Source organism: Homo sapiens, chromosome 4, assembly GCF_000001405.40.
Source record: "Homo sapiens chromosome 4, GRCh38.p14 Primary Assembly".
Classification (NCBI taxonomy): domain Eukaryota; kingdom Metazoa; phylum Chordata; class Mammalia; order Primates; family Hominidae; genus Homo; species Homo sapiens.
The window spans coordinates 40,200,770-40,226,263 of NC_000004.12; the positions used below are offsets into that span (position 1 = coordinate 40,200,770).

The window sequence follows — 25,494 nt, forward strand, 5'->3', positions numbered from 1 at the left end:
AAAAACCAAAGTGTTGTATACATGTAGAAGCTATATATTATTCCGGGGCAGCCCAAAGAGGGGATGTTGCTTTCAAGCGAAAGCACCAAATCACATTCTTTTCTGGTAAAATAGAATACTAATGAATTGCTTTTGGAAGAAATTTCCAGAGCATTACTGAATGTTCAAGTGCTTCTTAGAGCACAAGTTGAACCTTTCTTATCTCTGCACTCAGTTTCTCGTAAAACTGAAGTCACAGTGACCTCTTCCCCATTTCGTAGAAAAGAAACCCAAGGAAGAGAGTGGTTAAGAAACAGAAGATACGGTTCTCATCACATTTGCCTGAGAACTACGTATAGTCATCCATTCAGTGCCTCGTTAAGTAAATAAATGATTGAATCATTTGTATACATGACCTCATGGAAAAAAGCACGGTAAAATGAATGTTTGAGGGTGGGTAGACAGAATTATTCAACCCGGACAGGTGTTAGATGTTCACTCTATCCCCCCCTTTTTTTTTGCATTAGGTTTTATTCATTATTTGCATCATCTATGGACCTAAAAGCATGCTCATTGTCACACAGATGGGAACAGGGTGAATTTTCAATGATTTCAATGAAAAAAAAAAAAAGATGTGCTGTTGCAAAATATCAAGGGAGATGTTTACAGTGGTGTTCTAGAACCGGCTTGCTCTCAAGTGCTGATTGTAATATTTTCAGAAATTTTCCAAGCCAGTGACATTATTGACTTCTCTTTATCTGTGTGATGGAAATGCTATATAATATTGTGCTATCTGAGCATCTGTTTTCAATTTTGCATTCAGCGATGTCATGATGGTGGCTTGAAATTGGCTATGGTAAAAGTACACTGTGAAAATCAGCAAACACAATAAATCAGGCTCCCCACCTTTTTTTTTTCGGGGCGGGGGGCAAGCATGTTGTTAAACGTTTACTAGCATGCTACTGAGGAACTGTGTAAAATACAAATATGGCAATTTGACGATATGTATCAAGAGCCATTAAAGTGTTCATACACTTTGATCCATTCATTCCACCCCTGGAAATTTATTCCGAATAAATAATTCAAAGAAAAGTAATATGCATGAACATATTCACTGTATTATCATTTATAGCAGCAAAATCTGAAAATACCCTGAACACTAAGCAATAGGAGTTCTGGCAACATTAACTCCATGAGTTTTTTTTTTTTTTTTTTTTTTTTTAAGACAGGGTCTTGTTTTGTCACCCAGGCTGGAGTGCAGTGTGTAATCACAGCTCACTCAGCCTTGACCTCCTGTGCTCATTTGATCCTCCTGCCTTAGCCTCCCAAGTAGCTGGGACCACAGGCGTGTGCCACCACACTTGGCTAACTTTTTTTTTGTAGAGACGGGGTCTCACTTTGTTGCCCAGCCTGGTCTCCATCTCCTGGGATCAAGTGATCCTCCTGCCTTGGCCTCCCAAAGTGCTAGGATTACAGGCACGTCACTGCGCACAGCCCATGGGTTCTTTTAAAGTCATTAAAAATCATAGTTATGATGGTTATGAAAATATGTTTGATATGATGTTAGGTTAGAAAATCAGAATTAAAAATTTTAATTACATTCTGATTTTGTTGTGAATAAGAATTAAATGTGAGCCGTAAAAAAATGAATGACAGCATTTGGTATGTTAGAATGGTGAAATAGTAGAATTTGTTTTTATTTTGTTTATTGTAGTCGTGGTGTGTGTTCATTTAAGAAATTTGGAGAACACCTGTTAATAAGTGATCTTGAGTAGTTTTAACATTTAGGAGGAAGGCTATGAGTTTTGTGAACCACATGGGGCTTTACCTTTAACCGGTAGATGTTACTGTGAATCCCTGGGCAGGGTATTGTAAAGGGAGTTTGGAGCTAGGCAGTGTGAGCTGTGGATGCTAAAGGGGTTTCTTTAGAGCAGCTTAAGGAGGAGGAAGAAGTAAGTAACTGTGTCCTGAGGACTTGCTAAAAGTAGACTGCAAGGACTGAGAAATAGCCCAGAGAAAAACTACCATCAAAGGCCAGAGAGACAGGCGAGAGAAGGTTTCTTAGGAAGAGACAAGGAGACGCTGATCTCAGAGGTGAACAACATGGATAAGAAATTAACTCCATTTTGACCTGAAAAAAATAGGGGCTGACACCAGAAAGGAAATGATTTTTGTAGAGCAATGGTTCTCAAGTTTTATTTATTTATTTATTTTTAGTTTTTTTTAAATTTTTTATTTTTTGAGATGGAGTCTCGCTCTGTTGCCCAGGCTGGAGTGCAGTGGCATGATCTTGGCTCACTGCAAGCTCCGCTTCCCGGGTTCACGCCATTCTCCTGCCTCAGCCTCCGGAGTAGCTGGGAATACAGGTGCCCGCCACCAGGCCCCGCTAATTATTTTGTATTTTTAGTTGAGACGGAGTTTCACCGTGTTAGCCAGGATGGTCTCGATCTCCTGACCTCGTGATCCGCCCGCCTCGGCCTCCCAAAGTGCTGGGATTACAGGCGTGAGCCACCGCGCCCGGCCAGTTCTCAAGTTTTAGTGTGTTTAAGAATCACCTGGATGAGTGCGGGAAGAGTTAACTAATTTAGCATCCAGGTTCCATCTCCATGCATTCTGATACGGTTGGTCTAGAGGTTGGCAGGAATATGCATTTTTAACAAATCCTCCCACCCTATGAAGACTCTGATGTGAATTGCCTGCAGATTACACTTTGAGAAACACTAGTGGAATAAATGCAACAGTTTGGTTTTGTCCAGGGAAGGTATATCTGTGAGTGTGTGTGTGTGTGTGTGTGTGAGAGAGAGAGAGTGTGTGTGTGTGTGTTGAAGGTGAAGCCGCTACTTAAAGGCTCAGAATTGAAGGACTTATAATGTAAAAGGGGAATGAAAACAGAGAAAGCCCAGAGGGACAAGTTATTTATTTGTTATAGAAACAAACAGCAAAAACCAGGAAGCTGTACTTACGATATTCCTTAAAGGAATATAGTTTGTGGCACAAAATCCTCTTCCACAGTTAAACAATTTTGTCCAGCACTTGAACCAATTAAAAGTAGCTGTGACTAGGGGAACTATGAGCACAGAGAAAGATGGTCATGGGGAGAGTCTGGGACCCATAAACATTCTATTTCAGGCCATCGAGCGGTGGTTATTAAACCCGTGGTAGAATATGGGAGTGCTACGGACAGAAAACACTCTGGACCTTACTGTATGATAACATTATGTTAAAGAAGAAAAGAAAGTATATTTTTTGATGAAATGTAGTATTTTATATACAGAACTCAGCACTCAAAATAGTAATAACAATTAGACTTATGCCACAACAACATTATATCACAAAATAAACATATGAAAGTGAATGACATCGCAGTAGCCACTGTTCTGAGATTATCTGCTTCACCTGGCTTTGGAAGTTTAGTGATTGTAATAGCTTTCAAATAGCCTTCAATGTCTCGTGCTCTTCTTAAAGTGGAGATGATTCTTTTACTTTAATCACATTCCCCATCGTCAGGGCCTCTGATCTCTTGAGACATGATGTGGTAAATCAAGGATAAGTTAACAACCCATCTTCACATTGGAGGCGCAAGTCACAGGGTCTGTCGGATGTGCAAGGGTCTAACGCCTGAAATCAGACCTCTTTCTACAAGCACGCGCTGACTATTCTATTCCCCACCTAACAGGGTTTTTCATGGACTGATTGGCTTGTGCTTTGGAGCAATGTTTCCTAATCACTAGTTTTGGTCACAGATTCGTTTGACAATGTGATGAGAGCCAAAGACTTTCTCACACAGGGCCATGAACATTTGCTGCACAGTCCTAGGGGATATAAGGACCCTCTAAAACCCATTCATGGACTCTCAGGGATCTAGAGGCCTCAAGTGAGGAGCTCTGCCCTCAGCAGAGGGAGCATTGCAGAGGAAGTTCTGGTTATTACTGACATCAGATTAAGCCCCTAAAGACAGAAATGCTGCTTCTCCAATTGATGGCTGAAATGAGGGTAAGATGGCGGATACAGGTGTAGTTTTATAGCATCAGATCCTTAAAATGAGTAGCATGTGGGGCTAGAGTTGTTTCCCTTCAGATAACATATGATTAATGCTCTAAATCCTTAGTTCTGAATTCTCTCATGTGAAGCCAGGGTTGGTTCCCATTTGGGAAAGCAGTCTCTCAAGATGCCACTTTAATGTCTTACTTATCAGCTCGTGATGCCTTGGGTGGCACAAGAAATGCAGGCAGGGCCGGGCGAGGTGGCTCACACTTGTAATCCCAGCACTTTGGGAGGCCGAGGCAGGCAGATCATCTGAGGTCAGGAGTTCGAAATCAGCCTGGCCAACATGGCAAAGCCCCAGCTCTACTAAAAATACAAAATTAGCTGGGCGTGGTGGCACATGAGCCTGTAATCCTAGCTACTCTGGAGGCTGAGGCAGGAGAATCGCTTGAATCCAGGAGACAGAGGTTTCAGTGAGCCAAGATCGTGTCACTGCACTGCAGTCTGGGCAACAAAGTGAGACTCAGTTTACAAGAAAAAGAAATGCAGGCAGGTTGTAAGCACTGATCTGGCCAACTCTAGAGTGTAGTGAGTAGTGTGGGGTCAGCTGATGCCCCTAAGCAACGTACTGGATACCCAGCCCAGCTGCTTTTAGGGTGAAAGGCATTAGCATTAGCCGGTGGGTAAAGTGCTCCCTTCTGGGTGTAAGATGTAGTTGTCTTATCTGAAGCTGAACATCTGGTTGGGCTTTGATAACTTTGAAGATAGTTCTTTTCCTGTGTAGCCTTTTGATCACAGAAGCCCTGTTGGTCATCTTCCATTAGTGGGTATCTGACCTGCAATTTGGGGAACTGAGTGTTTTCAGCTGAAAGCTCAGGGCTTTGTTCATTTCCTGTCCTCCCAGACTGTGGTATCAGGCAGGGTATGGAGACTTACCCCAAACCCGTCTGTTTAAATTAGCCAACCCTACTGGAAGTGGTAAGATGAGGCCACATTCTCATGTCACGGTCATACAGTGGATTGACACTGGATGAGAAAGAGAAACGCACTTCATCTTCATCCCTCCGGAGAAAAAGAATGTGAAATTGACTAAATACATGGTGAGTCAAGGTTCTCTTGGTGTGGGATAGCATAAAAATTGGAAATCTGTCTTTGAGATAGAAAGGGAAAATCTATAACAAATATGTTCCAGTAATCAGTGTGCCTTCATGTCTATAACCATTTTAATTATTGCACATCCATGACTACATTTCTTGTAAGTTTCAATATCTATTTTAATAATAATATTGCATCATACAGTCACAGCCCTCAAAACACAAATATTCCATGTACACCAAAGGCTGGTAGCAAAGTCTCTACTCCTCTTACCTCCTGGAGATTATTTTCCCCTGCCAGGTCATTATGTCTAGCAACCTAGTTGCCCATGCAGAGAATGGACTGGCACAAATCTCTTCCTTGGCTCTTTTCCTTTCTTTCAGGCAGGACCCCTACTTTTAATTTGTCTTCCCTCCAGGTCCAGCTGTCACCTTCTTGAGAGACTCTAAATATACAACCCTTACTACGAACCTTTTTCTCCCTTTCTTGCATTTTTTTTTCTCAGTTGCCACAAAAAATTCTTCTGGTCTTTGTTCCAGTTTTGAGCTGAAAATGATCCCAACTGTGGTTGAGAAGCATAAGAATGCCTGTAATTATTCCTTCTAACAAGGAAAAGGAAACTCAATATATTTAGAGTCAAATTTAAATGATGTAAAATCAATTACAAAAACCTTTAAGGGGCCTAAAAGTCCCCTTTGGCATACTTTTTCTTGATAAAACCTGATTTTCCTCAAGCTCTACTCTTTGGGCAGTAACTTGCTGAAAATTATATCAATAGTAGTCTTTCTCTGTCTTCTTCATGTGATAAGGAAGTAGGAGAGAGGGTTGGAGGCACGTACAGGAAATAGGAGGGGAAAAGCCAGAAAAACCCTTACTTATTGACAATACCACAATTTCCTATATGTGCCAAAACAATATTGTCACTATATTCCTAAACACAGAATATCCGGCAATATCAGAGAAATATCTATAATAATTTCTACTTTAAAAATATAATAGTAATGGATATTTGTTGTAGCAAATATGTCATATGCCTTTTAGGTTAAATATACTTGTATACATCTTATTTGTAAGTGTTTATGTATTAAAATTGCCATCAGGCTGGGCGCGGTGGCTCATGCCTGTAATCCCAGCACTTTGGGAGGCTGAAGCGGGCGGATCACGAGGTCAGGAGTTCAAGACCAGCCTGGCCAAGATGGTGAAACCCCGTCTCTTCTAAAACTACAAAAATTAGCCAGGCATGGTGGCAGGCACCTTTAATCCCAGCTACTCGGGAGGCTGAGGCAGGGAATTGCTTGAACCTGGGAGGCAGAGTTTGCAGTGAGCAGAGATCGTGCCACTGCACTCCGGCCCAGACAACAGACTGAGACTCCATCTCAAAAAAAAAAAAAAAGTCATCATCCCAGTGTTTTTCCTCCACGATGTGCAAAATCTATAGAAAGAAGCATAAACATTGCTTCCTAATGTGATAGAAATACAGCTAATAATTGTAGGATCATTTGAATTAACAAAAGGCAACTATGAGTATTTTTTCTGAGTCCTATAGCTATCTTTCCTTTTTTTTCATCCTCTACATTTCAGGAAAAGCAATTGAAATGTACATTGTGGCAGTGTTTCTATTACATTCTAGAGCTATGAAAACACATGGATGGTTTTCAGGATGCAGCAGGAGGGTTCTACGTAAAACGTCGGTCCAGAGTTCAAACCCCAAACTAATAGTTTTGGATTTCCCCAAGTACTACCCACTTAATATGTCACCAGGAAAGACCCATCACACACATATATGGAAGGAAAAATTAAAGTTTCTCCTCCAGCAGGGGCTAGATGCTTGTGGTTTCTGTTTAAAAACTAGATGGTGGCCGGGCACTGTGGCTCACGCCTGTAATCCCGGCACTTTGGGAGGCCAAGGCGAACGGATTACCTGAGGTCAGGAGTTCGAGACCAGCCTGGCCAACATAGTGAAACCTGGTCTCTACTAAAAATACAAAAATTAGCCAGGCGTGGTTGCTCACACCTGTAATCCCAGCTACATGGGAGGCTGAGGCACAGAATTGCTTGAACCCAGGAGGCGGAGGTTGCAGTGAGCTGAGATCATGCCACTGCACTCCAGCCTGGGCAACAGAGTGAGACTTGGTCTCAAAAAACAAATAAATAAATAATAATTTAAAAAAACTAGATGGTACAATTGTGTTAAAAAAAAAAATCACCAGCGTTTTCAGCCTACGTTTATATCTACTTTTTTTTGGACCTGTGACCGATCAACCTTAAAAAGTTATATTATCTTCCAGCTTCCTCTGATTTACTTGTCCTTTCTTTGGAGGACTAAAATGATCATACTCTTTTTATTTCCCTACAATCAATCGAGCTATTTGGAATTTAAATGTTAGTGCTCCTTCCTTTATAAATTTGGTCGTGATTGATTTTATTTCTCAACAGGTACGTAGCTCATTATTTTATCCATTAATTATAGTTACTTTTTGTTTCCTTTGCCAATTTTGGGAGTGCTTAACAACTCTTAAGAACTGTTTCATTAACGAATTAGTAACCAATGTAAAATGCAGAATAAATAACAAGTTCAGTTGCCTTTATAGTCTTTAAGGTTTGCTTAGAAACTTTTAAATTATAATCAAGTTTTTTCTTTTCCTACCAAATATTGGCCAAAGTACAATTTATAAACAATATCATCAGCCAGTCAGGAAAACGAGCTAAATATTCCTTCTTCTCTCCACTTAATATGCTCTGTTCTCAATTATTATTTTGAATTTTTTTAGGAGGCTTTCGAAAGGCCTTTTTTCAGAAAAATTGTGAGTTTTGGGCAGCAACATGAATGATCAGCTTTAAATTGTTCATAGTCTTTGACCATGTTTAAGAATTATTCCTAAGACAACAACGCAAGGTGTTTTATTATAAAAGCAAGACTTCTCAACACAATGGTGTCTGCTAATAATAGAGAAACCAAGAAACAACTTAAAATGCCCAACAGAAATGTATAAGGTGATAAAGGTGACAAAGTGAGACCCTGTCTCAAAAAATATATACATATAATATTTGTATTTATAATATAAAAAGGCCTATATATGTATTCTTATACATGAATTCAGAATATGGAGGTAAATAAATATGTTAGAAATTATCTAGTGTGTGATAAGATTACATGATTTAAAATGTTTTTCATTTTTTCCTGTCTTTTTTATAAGTAGCATATATTGTTTGTATATAAAAAAGGCCAATAATCCTTATTAACAGAATGTCAGTTTTTGGTGTGAGGTTAATAAAGAAATTAGTTAAAATGATTCTGACATGAGAGTTTTTTCTGACATTTTGAAAGAAACCTAATGCTTTGAAAGCCCTAAGTCTATAATTAAATTGTATCTAATAAAATTTAGAGGCTCTTTAGATTTAGAGGGATTTTGAGTTTCTCAAAGCATAGAAAACGACTTTTAGTGAGAGATGTTGGAATTATCAGTTAAGTTTGTGAGTGGTTTCTGTTTTTAAAATATGAGATAATTAGCATTAGCTAGTATCAGGCTTTAAGCAAAATATAAAATATTCAAGTGATGAATACAGACGATTATTTCTACATTTTAACCTGTAAAAAGGTTCCCAAAGAGATTTTTTTTTCTTTTTTCTTTTAGTGAGACAGGATGTCACTCTGTTGCCCAGGCTAGAGTGCAGTGGCATGATGATGGCTCACTGCACCTTCCACCTCCTGGGGTCAGGTGATTCTCCCACCTCAGCCTCCCGAATTGCTGGGACTACAGGAATGCACCACCATGCCGGCTAAGTTTTGTATTTTTTTGTAGAGATGGGGTTTCACCATGTTGCCCAGACTGGTCTTGAATTCTTCAAGCATATTCACCCACCTCGGCCTCCCAAAGTGCTGGGATTACAGGCCTGAGCCATGGCGCCCAGTCAAGAGATCCTTTAAGAAGCACATTTTCCTTATGCATCTTAAATATTCAATTAGAAAAGAATTGACTTTCAAATATTTTGAAAGACATATCTTCTAGGTAAATCATAAATATATTCATTCTGTGTAAAGTAGGAAAATAAAGGAAAATTACCTTGTATCTTTTCATGGCCATTTCTCTACACAGTAATACCAAATATCTAAAAGTTTGTTAATTCAAAATGCCAAATATTAGTTGGAATATCATATAACTCTTTGAAAAGTTGATTCGTTTAGTGAAAAAGACTTTTCCTCTTAAACGGAGTGAAATCTCGTGTCTGATTTGTGTAATATTCCTGATTACATTGTGTGCGTGTGTGTGTGTGTGTGTGTGTGTGTGTGTGTGTTTCTGTGTTTCTTTCCGGCTTGGTTTAACAATAATTCATGATCATAAGAGGACAGCTATTGCTTGTAATGAACCCAGCTGATCAATGAACAATGCTTTGTATAACAATTGTGTAATTGAAAGTGATACAATACCTACCAACGGGGACTTAAAGCAACCAGGATTCATTTCTCCACGTAACAGGAATTCGGAGGTCTGCGTTTCCGGCCCTGGGCCAATGGCTCAATAAGACTGCCTGCCATTTTGTTGTCTTTTGTCATGGCTGCACGATGATTGCTGCAGCTTCTAGCCATGTACTCCATTCAAGACGCACGGGAAGGTTGGGGTGGAAAGGAGGATGAGTTGGCAGTGGTTGTCTCATTTTCCAGGAAACCAAGAATTTTCCCGGAGGCCTCCCAGATATCAGCTTCCGTGTCATTGGTAGAACTAGGTTACACAGCCACTCCAGCTGCCGTGAAGGTGGGAAACAGGAAATAGACTTATTATTAACAATTCCCTTAGAGCATACATTCCTAACAGGCAGGGTGGGTGGGTGTGGGGAACATGGTGGAGAATAGGGTGAGGGTTGTGGTGGGGCGTAGATGGGGTGGTGCTGTTGATATCATCCCTTAAGGGAAGGATATTGCTTTTGTGGGAGGGAAAAGGCAGGAAAAATATCCCACTCTATATGTATAAAGCACAGTTATACATACAGCATATATGCAGACATATAATTTGTCTATGGTATTAAAATTTCATGCATGGGGCAATTAGGAAAAAAGCGTCTAAAAATGCTCTTAGGGAGATGATGTTGAAAAAAAGTTGAGAAATACTGGGCTAGACCAAACATGATCCATTGCCTGAAGCTTACGTATTATCTATTACTGATGACAAAGAGAGGCACAGGTATGGAGTGGCAAACTAACAATGCGTGCCGTAGAGAATGTCATACATTAAATTAATGAACAGCTTACTTTATGTTGTAATTGTTGTTGGTCTTCTCTCATTGTACTGTAAACATCTTAAAAGTGGGAACTGTGTCTTATTTCGATGTATATCTTTGTATATTAGCACACTAGTCCCTCAAGAGGTATGTTTTGTAAGTTGAATGGAACAAACAACATTTTATTTAACATATACTTTATTTCTATTTTTTTTAAATTTTATTTATTTATTTATTTTGAGACAGCCTCTCTCTTTCTCACCGAGGCCAGAGTGCAGTGGTGCAATCTCAGCTCACTGCAACCTCTGCCTCCTGGGCTCAAGAGATTCTTGTGCCTCAGCCTCACAAGTAGCTGGGATTACAGACGTGTACCACCATGCCTGGCTAATTTTTTTGTTGTTGTATTTTTAGCAGAGACGGGCTTTCACTATGTTGGCCAGGCTGGTCTTGAACTCCCGGCCTCAAGTGATCCGCCTGCCTCGGCCTCCCAAAGTGTAATGTTGATTATTTTTAATGGCAAAAATGAAGTGATGCAGGAAGACATTTAAGCGTCATAGGTGATGTCTTGGGGGTAGTTTCACAGGATTTTTAGCGAGCTGTTTGATTGCTCTTATGTGGATGGTACAAAGACCAAAAGAGGTTTTGCAAACAGTGGAGTCATAAATGATTGTGCATGAGATAATTAGTTCTGATAGTTCCGTTAGTTTGTTTGTAAGAGATGAAAAGGAAATAAAATGGAAAAAGAGAGAAGATTTGTTTTGTTTTGTTTTACTTTTTAGCTGGATTGTTTTTTCTGTGCCTAAGCTGCTTCAGTTGTAAAATGGGAATTATAATGTCAAAATCCTTCCTTCTCGAATTGTGATGGTCAAATGAAAAGCTGTCTGAGAAAGCTGCCCCGAGCTGTCTAACAGTATTCCTCCAGCTGGACTATGCTTCTGAGTCATCCGATGCTTTAAAAATACATCTTCCCAGGAAAACATTGTAAACAACTCCCAGGGTACATAATGATTTAGATGATTAAATTTGGAGGCTGCCCTGACTTCACTACCCTGGGCCTCAACTGCTTTATAAATTATGAATACAGATACTTCCTAGGACTGTAGGGTGGATAGCAAATGAAGCGAATTAACTGCCAAATCCTTCCTTAACATCTTCGTTATGATCAATATTATGAACCTAGGCAATCTTCATCCATACATTGGACACTTGACCTTGGGATGGATTAGACTTCCTCAGTTTCCTTTGTCCTCTGTGCAAAATCTAGAATATTGCCAGCCTATCGTCAGAGTGCAACACGTTTGAGGAATTATTGCATGATTGATATTGTTGAGAGTTCAGATTAATGTCACTTCAGATAATCCACAGATGACATGGAAAACTGGTGGGCTACCGGTGCTATTTGAAGTCAACGAGGGCTTGCACTTAGCTGGGAATGGGCGAGAGAATAGGATTAATGCCCAGGAAGATATATCTTCTGATCCTCACCTCTCTTTTGTATATAGGTGATTTTTTAAAAAACTTCCTTCTCCTCCAATCAAAACTGGCTTTGAGGAAAGAATGGGACTGGATGCACATTTGTGTAAACATGCTAATGGTAAAAAAAAGTCTTTACCTTTCAGGGATATTTGCATTTCAACAAAGTACCAAACCTCAAGAGAAAGGGCTGCTCCAAGGATGGAAGATATATTTGGTAGGGAGAGGACTTTTTATCACCCTTGATTCACTCCATGTAAGCAGGGACCTTCTGGTAAGATGCTCCCTGATGGGGACTTGTTGGATGCTGGCCGTGCCAGCTGGCTGAAACCCCCAGGGTCAGACTTCCTTGCAGGGGATCCTTATCATGTGGATGGCAGCCACTGCTGATAGATTGGGGAACTGCTTCCTTTGCCATCTCCCTATAGGGAAGGTTCCCCTAAACTGAGTCCCTAATAATCTCAGAGCGAGACGTGTGCTGTGGGGATCTTATCATCTTATCAGATTTTTCTAAACTATAGTCCTTCTTAGAAGTGAGAGGCCCAGAACACTCTACTTTATGCAGGAATAGCAGAGATGACTCATGGTTGGGAAGACACTAGAATTCAGCCAGGAGAATATCATTAAAAGAGGGAGAAGGGAAAACAGACTTTTTGTGTGGTACAAAAACAAAACCCTCTGTATCATTATGTGAACAACGGTGCAAAAAAGAGGAGACACAGTTTACCCATGGGTAGCTAACTATGATAGTGAAAGTTGCCTTGAACCTTGTTTTAGAAAAATGGCAAGTGTGGGTCTCACTCTTCTAGTTCCTGACTTCTCTCTCTCTCTCTCTCGTTTCTCTTTTTTTTTTTTTCTCTCTCTCTCTCTCTCACACACACACCCATCTTGGGCCAGGTTTGTAAAGCCTCATGGGAAATGGAACACGGAAGAGTCTTCTGGGAGGTTTTAAAATTTAATTTTAGTCAGATTTAGTAAGATTTCTTCATACAAAACAAAACAAAAATTCTCTAAAAAAAATCCTTGTTAGGGTCTGGTTAAGACAACTAATAACAACAGATGTGAGGGCATAGTTCCTAGTTACCAAAGAATCGCTCTGGTGAGAGAGGAGTGGAGGCAAAAATTCCAGATGGTACCTGGGTAGCGATTGCACTCAGATGGGTCATCTGAGGACAGCTGCCCTAGACCGCTGCTCCTGAGCCTCTCCATTGTAATTTTCCTTCTTCTAGTTCCTTTTTAAAAATTTTTCTTTTTTGTTGAGATAGAGTCTTGCTCTGTCTCCCAGGCTGGAGTGCAGTGGCATGATCCCCAGTCACTGCAACTTCCGCCTCCCAGGTTTAAGTGATTCTCCTGCTCAGCCTCCTGAGTAGCTGGGATTACAGGTGTGTGCCACCACGCCCGGCTAATTTTTGTATTTTTAGTGGAGACAGGGTTTCACCATGTTGGCCAGACTGCTCTCAAACTCCTGTGCTCAAGTGATCTGCCCGCCTCAGCTTCCCAAAGTGTTGGGATTACAGGTGTGAGCCACTGTGCCTGGCCTAGTTCCTTTATTTTAAAAGCTTAAATGCATGAAGCATACAGTACTGTGAAGACTTGCTTGATGTGATGCAGGTTCCTTAATCTCCTCCTTTGCTATTTGGTTCGCAGATGGTGGTACGGGTGGCACTTTGGGGAAGGCGGGGCGGAAGGAAGCTTTCTGATGAATGTTTGCACAGTATACGAGAAGGTTACAAGATATGGGCATCATGCACAGGTGGCGAGGTGGTTAGAGAAAGGTAGATGGTGTTTGGGGATTACCCTCTGGTACATTTCAATTCACTTTGGGGTTATGAGATTTCAGAAGGTTAGCTAATGCTTACGTCCTGGGGTGGGCTCTTTTGTATTTCTTTGTTGTCTCTTTTTTATTTTTTAGAGACAGAGTTTTACTATATTGCCCAGACTGGTCTCAGACTCCTGGCCTCAAGCGATCCTCCCACCTCAGCCTCTGAGTTACAATTGTCTCTTGAAAGTAATTTCAGGTAGGCTTGGGGCTACCAAGGCAAGCCTAGGGAAGCCTACTACATGAAGAGGATTAGAGTCCTCTGGAGAAGTTGGATTCATATGAAGAGATACTAATCAGAAAGTTGGGAGTTAGTCATCCATGGAAAACAGGCATGTTTGAGAATCATATTCTGGCAGTGCCCATCCATGCATTATCAGTGGAGAGAGAACCTTGGCTAATGGACTTCCCCAGTTTTGATCCCATGGATAAGACCATGGGGGAGAGGGTAAGGCTTAGGCTAATGCATATTCTTGGATCATTCAGTCACCTCCTTCCACTCTGAGTCCCTGTTGACCAGGGAATGTCTTGGTGTCATAGCTTGGCTTTCCAATGGCTCTCCCCGTGGGGAAAGAATACACAGGCTGTGTTGATGGTATTCTAGTCCTGACGAGAGCTGCGTTTCTCATGGTCAGCAAATGAATTGGCATCCGATATATAAGCAAATCTTGTGACTGTAAAGTCATATACTTTCTTGTTAGTTGAGGGAATCAGATTTCTGAGGGTAAGAGGTGAAGCCAAGAACATGGCAAATTCATTATCTTGATAAAAACTACCCGGTAAGGCTGCCCATTTTCTTTCAAACTGCAACACCATATGTCCAGCGAGGTTCCTCTTACGAGACATCAGGGGTATCAGGAGTGGGTGCCAAGCTGGAGTCCTGAGAATGAGGGAAATAGGAGACCATGAGTTTTGAGCACCACCGCAATTTCTCTTCTCCTTTTGTCCCTCTTGCTTTAGGTAGTAATGCATGCCTTAAGATAATAAAAGGTCTGTCTTTGTGGGCTCTTCATTGCCATAGAAAAATGATTGGTATGAGTTTCCCAAGGCCTCGGATAAAAATATTTCTTCAGAGAGGGTTTTGAAAACTTATGCCAGTTACCTGGGTGGACTCCAATCTTTCAAGCACTGTGTGTCTTTTCCTGGTCCTCCCTCGCTCCCTCCTTCCTTTCCTTCCTTCTCTAAACAGAGTCTAAGGTAATGCCCCTCTCCAGTTTCTTGGGATAGGGAAGGGGGTGGAATTACTTCTGACTCACCCTTACCCTTATGGTGTACCCTTTGGGGTTCTGGCTAAAATATATGTATTGGGAAGTGGGACGCAGTGGCTCACGCCTGTAATCCCAGCACTTTGGGAGGCCAAGGCGGGTGGATCACTTGAGGTCAAGAGTTCAAGACCAGCCTGGCCAACACCCATCTCTACTAAAAATGCAAAAATTAGCCTGGTGTGGTGGTGCATGCCTGTAATCCCAGCTACTCAGGAGACTGAGGCATGAGAATCGCTTGAACCTGGGAGGTGGAGAGGGTGGTGAGCCAAAATCACGCCACTGCAGTCCAGCCTGGGTGACAGAGCGAGACTCTGTATCAAAAAACAAACAAATAAGTAAAATATATATATTGGGGTCCATTAGTTTTTCCACCCTGGGTGGACTCTGACCTTTGACTTCTGTCATCCTTGCCCCATGAAGCCATCGGAACTGCAGCTCGTTTTCCGCTTTTTCATCGCCATTTCTTTCAGCTGACAAATGCTGTTTACCTCACTGGCTTCTCCTTTATTCTTAGGTTTTGGCCTGACAGTTGCTATTTTTTTTTTTTTTTTTAGCTCTTTGATACTTTTAAGAAAATGGTTTTTAGGCCATGCACAGGGGCTCATGCTTGTAATCCCAGAACTTTGGGAGACCGAGGTGGGTGAATTGCTTGAGCTCAGGAGTTTGAGACCAGCCTGGCCAACATGGTGAAACCCCGTCTCGATTAAAAATACAAAAACTAGCCGGGCGTGGTGGCAGGTGCCTGTAATCCCAGCTACTCCAGAGGCTGAGGCAGGAGAATTGCTTCAACCCGGGAGGCAGAGGTGGCAGTAAGCCGAGATCGCACCACTGCACTCCAGCCTGGGCGACACAGTGAGACTCCATCTCAATAAAAAAAAAGAAACAAAAAATAAAAACATAAGGACTTTTGACAAAAATATGATTCTTTAGGCAAGAGGTTTATTTCTCTAAGTGTCAGTTTCTCTGAAAACTTTGAGGATTGGATTGGATATAAATTTCCCCAAGCACAATGTGTGTACCAATGGTGGGAAACAAGATCTTTTTAGGGCAAGCATTTAAAAAATGTTTTTAGTAGGTATATGTTTCTTTGAATGTTTTCAGAAAAAAATTATAAGTGACAATCAAATCTATGATTTCATCTATTTAATTGCTTAGGACAAGGCCATATGAGTTCACTTAGAGTTGATTTTTAAAACATACCACATAAATGATAGTTCAAATATGGTTATCAGATGACTGAAATTTGGGGGCAGGATTAGAAGATGATCTTTCAGATTTTGACTAACTTGACTATTCTGGTCTCAATGACGAAAGGAAACAAGTTCCCATAAGTCATTACAGTGGAATCCAATGATATTATCCAAGAAACCAATATTCCTAGGATCTTAGTTCTCCTAGAAATCTTTCTAGCATGCTGAGCAGGATGGGTTGGACACAGTCCAAATCACTGGAATATTACAAATTTAAAAAATTGTTTTGAGTGGTGTGTGAAAGAGACCTGCTCTGAGGACTTCTAGAATGAGTGAGAAGGGAACTTACAGACCTACTGAGACTTGCTCCTCTGTCAGATGTGGCAGGAGGGTCGGGGTCTTGGAGTTGTTCAAGTAATTTCATCAGTTAGGGGTTAATCCTGACCCAGGATCCAGTCCTGCTGGGCCATACTTTCTTAAAGTGACTATCCAGTGACACTAGCAAATGTTACCTCTTCCCGGGAAGAAATGACAGGATGTGTTTGTATTTTCTTTTACAAAGGATCATGCGATTTTATTTTTACTTTTTTTTTGTTATAGAAGTGGTATATGTCTGTGAAGGAAACTCAGAAAACATAGATAAGCACACACAAAAAATTTGTAATTGCACCAGTATGAGCATTGTTAAAATCTTAGTATAGTTTCTTACTTTTTTCCTCTCTCTATTTTTACTAAAAAATCAGGATTACGTTGCACATACCGATTTGAACTTGCCTTTCTTTGATCCATATAACAATGTTGTCACATACTTTTCCCCACATTATTAAATATTGTTCTACAATAGTAAGGAATTCAATGATAAAAGAGGCATATTGTCTTCCTCCCACCTTATACAAGTTATTTTGTGTGGCAGCTTGACTTGTATTTTAGAAGTAGAGACAAATTAAGGCAAAAATAAATAGAAATGGCAAATTAATTCCACAAGGAGTGTGTTTTCTGAAAGTCCCTGCTGCTAGAAACGGAATTAGGATTATGCCTCCTGGTTTCAAACATGTCGATAATAGCTGTGTGTGCTACTCGAGTGGCGTCAAAGATGGATGTCCAACTCCATATTGGAGCTGTGGGTAACCTAGTGACAGCCACAAATCACCCTTCTAAGAGCAGATGGTCAGGGAGCACCTTTCCAGTTTAGAGCATATACCAGTTGCTCTCCTGATGGACATCTGGTCCATGATATTTGACTGTTTTAAGGTATGGAGTGCTTTGTACAAGGTACAAAACTTCTGTCCTTGGTATGAACATTTGGGAGGCAAGTGAGTGATAATGACCCACGGCTGCCTTTTTGTCCGGCAAAGCACGAGGATGCTTTGGAGAACGGAAGGATTTCATCGAGTCCAAAGGACACTCACCTCTAGGCCTCTCAGCCTCCTTGGCCACGTGGTTGTTCTGCTACTGAGAGTCTGCAGATGAGCTGGTGGTTTCTCCAAGCTTCCGAGAGCTCTCTCAGGTATTTATTATATGCACGTTCTGTCTACAATGACCAGTGGACTCTAAACTGGGCTGGAACATGTTCCCAGGAAAACATGCCCAAATTCTGTTCTACCTTGTGTAAATCTAAGACAGGGGCTACTGAACACAGTCTTGGAAATCAGACACGTGCTAGGGCCCCCTGTGCTTAGCTCGGCTAATGAGCCCAGGCTGAGGGCTTTTTTGCAGGCATGCCAAAAAATGCAGGGCCAAGGCTGGGGGTGGAGAGGTAAGGCTAGGGAAGTCAAGGAAGGCATGAGGAACAGCTTGGGAGGGGAAAAAGTTCATCTGGTGGCAGGAGCTTTAGGCTCTCTCTGCTCCTTCACCCTTTTCTCTGTTCAAATCTGCTCTCAAGGCAGCATGTGATATTGATGGTTCACAGAAACATGAACTACCAGCCTTGGAGGGGCCCTGAGAGCCCATCTAGTTCAATGCCTCATTTTGCGGATGAAAAAACAGGTTTGGAGTGGCTAAATGGCGTAAGCAAGGTCGTGTCACTAGGAGTAGAGCTGGGATTCAAGCCTGATGGTCAGTCCAGGGCTCTGATCACCACAAGCTGCCTCTATATACAGTATAGTGAGAAAGTCTCAACCACCACATTGACTCTTCATTTATATTTAATATTATATTTGTATTTTAAGATTGATCCATAATGGAAGGAATTGTTTAGTCCTGTACTAAAGGAATTTAGAAAGAGTTGGGTGACTCAATCTACTGATAAGGAAAAAGATTTACAATCTATTACTAAGTGAGAAAGGCATCATGGAGTACAGTATAGTATGCTGTAGTTTGTATATAAAAATGTGTGTGTGGCTGGGCGCGGTGGCTCACGCCTGTAATCCTAGCACTTTGGGAGGCCAAGGTGGGTGGATCACCTGAAGTCAGGAGTTTGAGACCATCCTGGCCAACATGGTGAAACTCCATCTCTACTAAAAATACAAAAATTAGCTGGGCATGGTGGCACATGCCTGAAGTCCCAGCTACATGGGAGGCTGAGGCAGGCGAATCACTTGAACCCAGGAGGCGGAGGTTGCAGTGAGCCGAGATCGCACCACTGCACTCCAGCTTGGGGACAGAGTGAGACTCCATCTCAAAAAAAAAAAAAAAAAAAGTGTGTGTGATAATTATACACATACATTCATATATATATGCATGTGGATTCATGTAATAATGTAATAGCTTTGGAAAAATGCATGAGAAACTTAGTCTGATGGTTGCGTCTGGGAAAATGGCCTGGGCACCATAGGAGGGAGGTATATTTTTCACTTTTATACTTTTAAAATGTTACTATAGGCATGTAATCACTATTCAAAAAATGTAAAAACATTTAAAGATGCCATGTGAGCTCAAATAAGGGAGAAATATATTGCTTATTGGGAAGGCCTCATACAAGAGGTAGCATCTGAGCTGGGCTCTGGGATGGGTAGAAGTTCACCAGGAAGAGCCAGGGCAGGAAAGCTTGCAGCAGCAGGATTGAAGCTGTCAAAGCAGGAAAGACCAGGGAGAGTGTCAGCAATGTTGCATAGTCTGGAGAAATTGCAGCAAAGTAGTATGCTGTTGTTTGAATATAAAAATGTGTGTGTAATTATTATATGCATTCGTACTTACAGCATGTGAATTTATGTAATAATGTAATAGCTTCAGAAAAATGCATGAGAAACTGCATTGGCTAGGTAAAGCAGGGACAGGGCCGAGGAGAAAAGTAAAGAGAGAGAACTCGGCTGGATGGAGGTTATCTTATACTTAATATGGCATAAAGGGCTTTTTACAAATTGGCCCCATTGTCCCTTTCCAACATCATCTTCCACCTGTGCTTCAGCCACCATAGCCAGCTGTCTATTCTCCAAATACCCACGTGCACACCTGGGCACCAGCCGCTTCCTCTGCCTGCATGCGGTCCACCAGTCCTATTTCTTTCTCTCCTCCAAGACCAAGTTCAAATGTTCCTCCTCTCCCCCTCCCCACCCCACCACCCTGGAAGATTTTAACACTCTGTCCTTAGTGTTCTCTTGGCATTTTGCATTTACCTTTATTATAGAACTTGGCTGTTTAAATTTTAATTTTTTGCAGGACGAACCGGAGAGTGAGGTCATTTATACGCAGAACATTGCGTCTCCTCTCTTTAATTTAGCATTTTATTCTCTGAGGTCCTAGCTATATGGTACTTTATGGTGATGAAGTACAGCCACACCATTCTGCCTTTGTGTGGCCATTGCATGACCTCTCCAAATGAAATCATTTCTTCTATAGAGAAAAAAAAGTGAGGATCAGAGACATTATTAACTAAGTAAAAAAAAAAATTTTTTTAACCTCTGGGCCTAGTCTAAACTACATTAACATTTTCTTTATTATCTTCTGCCCCATTAGGCTCCTTAAAAGTAGGCCTAGTTTAAAGACAATTAAAGGCAGATATTCTGTCCCTTTTTTTAGACTTCTATGGATTTGAAATGTCATGTTAATAGAACACTATATATGCGTAAGCAATGAACTGAACCATTAAAAAAGAATTTTGCTCTGGAATATCCTGGTAGTTTCAGGGTCATTATATATTTGTTTTGCTCAGTTTCTTGATCTTTCTGATCCTTAATCAGAAGCTGAGCATCTAAGGAAATATTTTATCCTATTGCTATGTATCTATAATATTATCTGTATAAAAAGTACATATGTCTATATTTCAAAAGAAGATTGAAAAAATTAAGAAAATCTGAATAAACTTGTGTTCTTAGATTATTCCTCTTTGTTCCTCTTCTCCCTTAGGCAATTGAGGGAGTAACTGCTATGTTCCTAGTACAATTTATTCTATAGAGGGACATGTGAAAGGTGAGCTGAGAATTCCCAGTAAATCTCGATTTACCCATCATTGCAGAGACCTTTCCTCTGCCTGGGCCAATGTCCTTCTCGGCAAGGGAAGATAGATCGCACCAGACAAAGTTTGGACATTTATCTTTCTACATAAATGGAAAACCCTTCCCAGATTGTTCAACTGGTTGCTTTTTTTCAGTTACTAATACAGGAATACCTCATTTGATTGCGCTCCACAGATATTGCATTTTACACAAACTGAAGGTTTGTGGCAACTCTGTGTTGAGCGAGTCTATCGGCACCATTTTCCCAACAGCGTATGCTCACTTCATGGCTCTGTCACATTTTGGTAATTCTCAAAATAATTCAAACGTTTTCATTATTATTGTATCTGTTATGGTCATCTGTGATCAGTGATCTTTGATGTTACTGTTGCAATTGTTTTGGGGCACGATGAATCATGCCCATATAAGATAGCAAACTTAATGGATAAATGTTGTACGTGTTCTGACTGCTCCGGCTGTTCCCCCACCTCTCTTCCTCCCTTTGGGCCTCCCTATTCTCTGAGACACAATGATATTGAAATTAGGCCAGTTAATAAACCTATAATGGCCTCTCAGTGTTTAAGTGAAAGGAAGAGTCATGTGTCTCTCACTTTAAATCAAAAGCTAGAAATCATTAAGTTTAATGAGGAAGGCATGTTGAAAGCTGAGAGAGGCCGAAAACTAGGTCTCTTGCCAGTTAGCCAGGTTGTCAATGCAAAGGAAAATTTATTGAAGAAATGAAAAGTTCAACTCCTGGGAACACATGAATGATAAGGAAGTGAAACAGCCTTACTGCTTGGACAAAGCTTTAGTGGTCTGGGTAGAAGATCAAACCAGCTATACAATTTCTTTAAGCCAAAGACTAATCCAGAACAAGGCCCTAACTTGCTTCAATTCTATGAAGGTTGAATGAAGTGAGGAAGCTGCAGAAGAAAAGTATGAAGATAGCAGAAGTTGGTTCACTAGGTTTAAGGAAAGAAGCCATCTTCATAACACCAAAGTATAAAGAGAGGCAGCAGGTCCTGATGAATAAACTACAGCAAGTTATCCAGAAGATCTAGCTAAGGTCATTGATGAAGGTGGCTACAGTGTACAATAGAATTTTCAATGGAAACAAAATGGCCTTCTATTGGAAGAAGATGCCATCTAGGACTTTCACAGCTAGTAAGAGGTCAATACTTGGCTTCAAAGCTTCAAAGAACAGGCTGACTGTCTAGTTAGGGGCTAATGCAGCTGGTTGCTTTAAGGTAAAGCCAGTACTCATTTACCATTCCAACAGATCCTAGGGCCTTAAGAATTATGCTAAATCTACTTTGCCTGTGCTCTATAAATGGAACAACTAAAGCCTGAATGACAACACATCTATTTACAGCAATGTCTACTGAATAATTTAAGCCCACTGTTGAGACCTACTGCTCAGGAAAAAGATTCCTTTCAAAATATTACAGCTCATGGACAACGCACCTAGTCACCCAAGAGCTCTGATGGAGATGTACAAGGAGATTAATGCTGTTTTCATGCCTGTTAACACAATATCTATTCTGCAACCCATGGATCAAGGAGTCATTTCAACTTTCAAATCTTATTATTTAAGAATACATTTTGTAAGGCTATAGCTGCTATAGATAGTGATTCCTTTGATGAATCTAGGCAAAGTAAATTTAAAATCTTCTGAAAGGATCTACCATTTTAGATGCCATTCAGAACATTTGTGATTCATGGCAGAAGGTCAAAATAGCAACATTAACTGGAGTTTGGAAGAAGTTGATTCCAAGCCTCATGACTGACTTGAGGGATTTAAGATGCTAGTGGAGGAAGTAACTGCAGATGTGGTAGAAGGAGCAAGAGAGCTAGAATTAGAAGAGGAGGCTGAAGGTGGGACTGAATGTCTGTAATCTCATGTTAAAATTTAATGTATGAGGAATTGCTTCTTACAGATGAGCCAAGAAAGTAATTTCTTGAGACAGAATCTACTTCTGGTGAATATACTGTGAAAACTGTTGAAATGGCAACAAAAGATTTAGAATATTACATAAACTTACTTGATAAAGCAGTGGCAGGGTTTGAGAGGATTAGCTCTAATTTGCAAGAAGTTCTGCTGTGGATAAAATGCATTTCATGCTACAGAGAAATCTTTCATGAAAGGAAGAATCAATCAGTGTGGCAAACTTCATTGTTGTCTTATTTTAAGAAATAGCCACAGCCACTCCAACCTGCAGCAACCACTACCCTGATCAATTGGCAGCCATCAACATTGAGGCAAAAAGATTAGGACTTGCTGAAGGCTCAGATGATTGTTAGCTTTTTTTTTTTTTTTTTTTTTTTAGAGAGGGTCTTGCTCTGTTGCCCAGGCTGGAGTGCAGTGGTGCAATCATAGCTCACTGTAGCCTCCCGGAGTCAAGTGATCCTCCCACCTCAGCCTCCTGAGTAGCTGGGATTACAAGTGTGCATTACCATACCTGGCTAATTAAAAAAAAATTTTTATCTAGACAGAGTCCCATTGTGTTGTCCAGGCTGTATTGTTAGCATTTTTAAGCAATAAAATATTTTTAAATTAAGCCATGTATACTTTTAGACATCATGTATAGTGTAAACATAACTTGTTTTTTTTTTTTTTTTTTTTTTGAGATGGAGTTTCGCTCTTGTTGCCCAGGCTGGAGTGCAATGGCACGATCTTGGCTCACTGCAACTTCTGCCTCCTGGGTTCAAGCAATTCTCCTGCCTCAGCCTCCCAAGTAGCTGGGATTACAGGCATGTGCCACCATGCCTGGCTAAGTTTGTATTTTTAGTAGAGACAGGGTTTCTCCATGTTGGTCAGGCTGGTCTTGAACTCTCGACCTCAGGTGATCTGCCTGCCTCGGCCTCCCAAAGTGCTGGGATTACAGGCTCGAGCCACTGCTCCTGGCCAACATAACTTTTATGTGCACTAGGAAACAAAAAAAACTGTGTGACTCACTTTATTGCAAGATTCACTTTATTGCAGTGGTCTGGAACTGAACCCGCGATATCTGTAAGGTATGTCTGTATATCATACCCTTCCTGGGCAATACGAACAGGCTGACCTAATTCCTTCTAATGCTGAGTGGATTCTATCGAATGGATATGGCATAATTAATTTAACCCCTGCGTCTTAATGGACCTTTCAGATCTTTCCAGTTCTTTTTTTGCTGTCGTGAATAATGTAGCAATGGAAATTCTTGCATATCTTGACTACTTGTGTAGACACATCAGTACAACGTGTTGAAAGAATTGGAATTGCTGGATTAAAAGGTCTCCGCATTTAAAAGTTTAATAGATACTGGCAAGGACTTAAAGGATGGAGTGGTGCAAGGGGTCCCCCCTAAGTACAGGAAGTAAGGGGGTATATCATTTATATAGAATTTTAAAACAGTAATAAAACCAGTGTGGGTCTGTTTTTTATTATCACCATGCGCTGGCAGTGAAAAAGTCAGAGTAAGTTCTTAATGGTGTGTACAGCTTTCACTAGAGCTTTGGGGCCAAGTTGCATCTTCAGCTTCTATGGCACAGCATAGTCCTGAGTTTAAGCTGCAGATTAGACATAAACAATGATAGCACAGTGATTGTAGAAACCCCGGAACAGAACTCGAGTTACCTCAATTCCGTTATTCTCTCAGAGTTTTGTATTTAAATTTGAAACAACAAAGGAGAATGCAAACTACAAAGTATAATTAATGCTGATTGGTAAGTGCAAGTTTTAATTCATACATGAAATATCTTACTGAATTATTGTTATTATTTTTTAGAGACAGGGTCTCACTTTGTCATCCAGGCTGGAGTGCAGTGTTGTGATCATGGCTCACTGCAGCCTTGATCTCCTGGGCTCAAGCCATTCCCTGTCTCAGCCTCCTGAGTAGCTAAGGCTACAGGTACATGCTACCATGCCCAACTAATTAAAAGAACTTTTTGGTAGAGATGTTTGTTCATTTTTGTTTTTTGTTTGTTTGTTTTCAGACAGTCTCACTTTGTCACCTAGGCTGGAGTGCACTGGCGAAATCGGCTCACTGCAACCTCCACCTCCCAGGTTCAAGTGATTCTCATATCTCAGCCTCCCAAGTAGCTGGACTTACAGGCATGCACCACCACACCCGGCTAATCTTGCTGTGTTTCCCAGGCTGGTCTCAAACTCCTGGCCTTGAGCAATCCTCCTGCCTCGGCCTTCCAAAGTTCTGGGATTATAGATGTCGGCCAGTACACCTGACCTGAATGATTTTTTTAAAGTTCAATTAAAAAAAAAAGTAACTTGTTTCTTTTAAAGCTAAAGAAGGAATAAAAAATAAACAGTCTGTTCCTGATTCTTACGCATTGCTAGGAAAATAATTTTGTCACCTAGAGGAGAGAGGTTGATAGATGATCAGTTGTGGGTGTCAAATACACGAAGGACGCCGCTGGATTCTGTTCAAGTGCGCTCTGCAAAGATGGTGGTCTTCTGCTCATCAAATGGTGTGTGAGAGTGTCTGACTGAGGAAGAATCTTTAAAATGCTGTAAGAAATCAGGCTTGTAGTAAGAAGGAAATCACCCACCAGCAGAAAAATGTATTTCCGGCCTTTCTTCCTCACCCTCTGCCACTGTTTTAGGATTGCTCAGTTTCATCAAGGTTTGAAGGATAGGCAGGCTCTCACTAAGAGAGAGGTAGGGAGAGGGGAGGTAGAGACCTATGAATGGGCTCAGAGGCTGGACTGCCAGAGTCTGAACCCCAGCATCTCTTCTCATTAGCTTGTCATCTTGGACAAGGTACTTTACTTCTCTGTGCCCTAGTTCCCCCAGCTGTAAAAATGAGACAAAAATGATATTGACCACATGCAGTCTTGTTGTAATGATTAAAGGAGGTAATTTTTATAAAGCACTTCAAACAGCGTCTGGCAAATGTGTTTATTGTTATCCTTATCTGCTAAGGGCCAGGCATTCATCTAGGCATGGGAGATAGATTCTTTTCAGTTGCCTTAAAAAAAAAATCCTGCAAACGATGCATGATTAATTCACATTTTGCAGTTGTAGTTATGTGACTTGCCCAAGGTTATACTGCTGCTCAGCAAGGGAGATGAAAATCTAACCGTGACTGTCTGGGTGCGGTGGCTCA

General features: G+C 40.9%; 1 protein-coding gene across 15 annotated transcripts in view, besides 2 other annotated features; it reads left to right on the top strand.

The window, feature by feature from the left end:
* The window catches only part of RHOH (ras homolog family member H), a 55,888-nt gene that overhangs the window by 9,690 nt on the left and 20,704 nt on the right, over positions 1-25,494 (top strand). Inside the window, exon 2 of one of the 15 annotated variants that reach the window (NM_001278361.2) lies at positions 11,895-12,022. The exons of 11 other annotated variants lie outside the window; for them this stretch is intronic. The gene's annotated coding sequence lies outside the window, so the exon portion shown is untranslated. Of the gene's footprint in view, positions 1-4,943; positions 5,064-11,894; positions 12,023-17,377; positions 17,530-25,494 lie in introns of those variants that run through there. 3 more of the 15 variants (NM_001440378.1, NM_001278360.2, XM_017008189.2) reach the window with 3 other exon arrangements.
* Positions 4,211-4,270: an enhancer, noted in NCBI's record as "active region_21479". NCBI's record gives its function as "activates an Ori minimal core promoter by ATAC-STARR-seq in GM12878 lymphoblastoid cells {active_cell/tissue: GM12878}" and the evidence as "EXISTENCE:reporter gene assay evidence [ECO:0000049][PMID:35858748]".
* Positions 12,633-12,682: an enhancer, noted in NCBI's record as "active region_21480". NCBI's record gives its function as "activates an Ori minimal core promoter by ATAC-STARR-seq in GM12878 lymphoblastoid cells {active_cell/tissue: GM12878}" and the evidence as "EXISTENCE:reporter gene assay evidence [ECO:0000049][PMID:35858748]".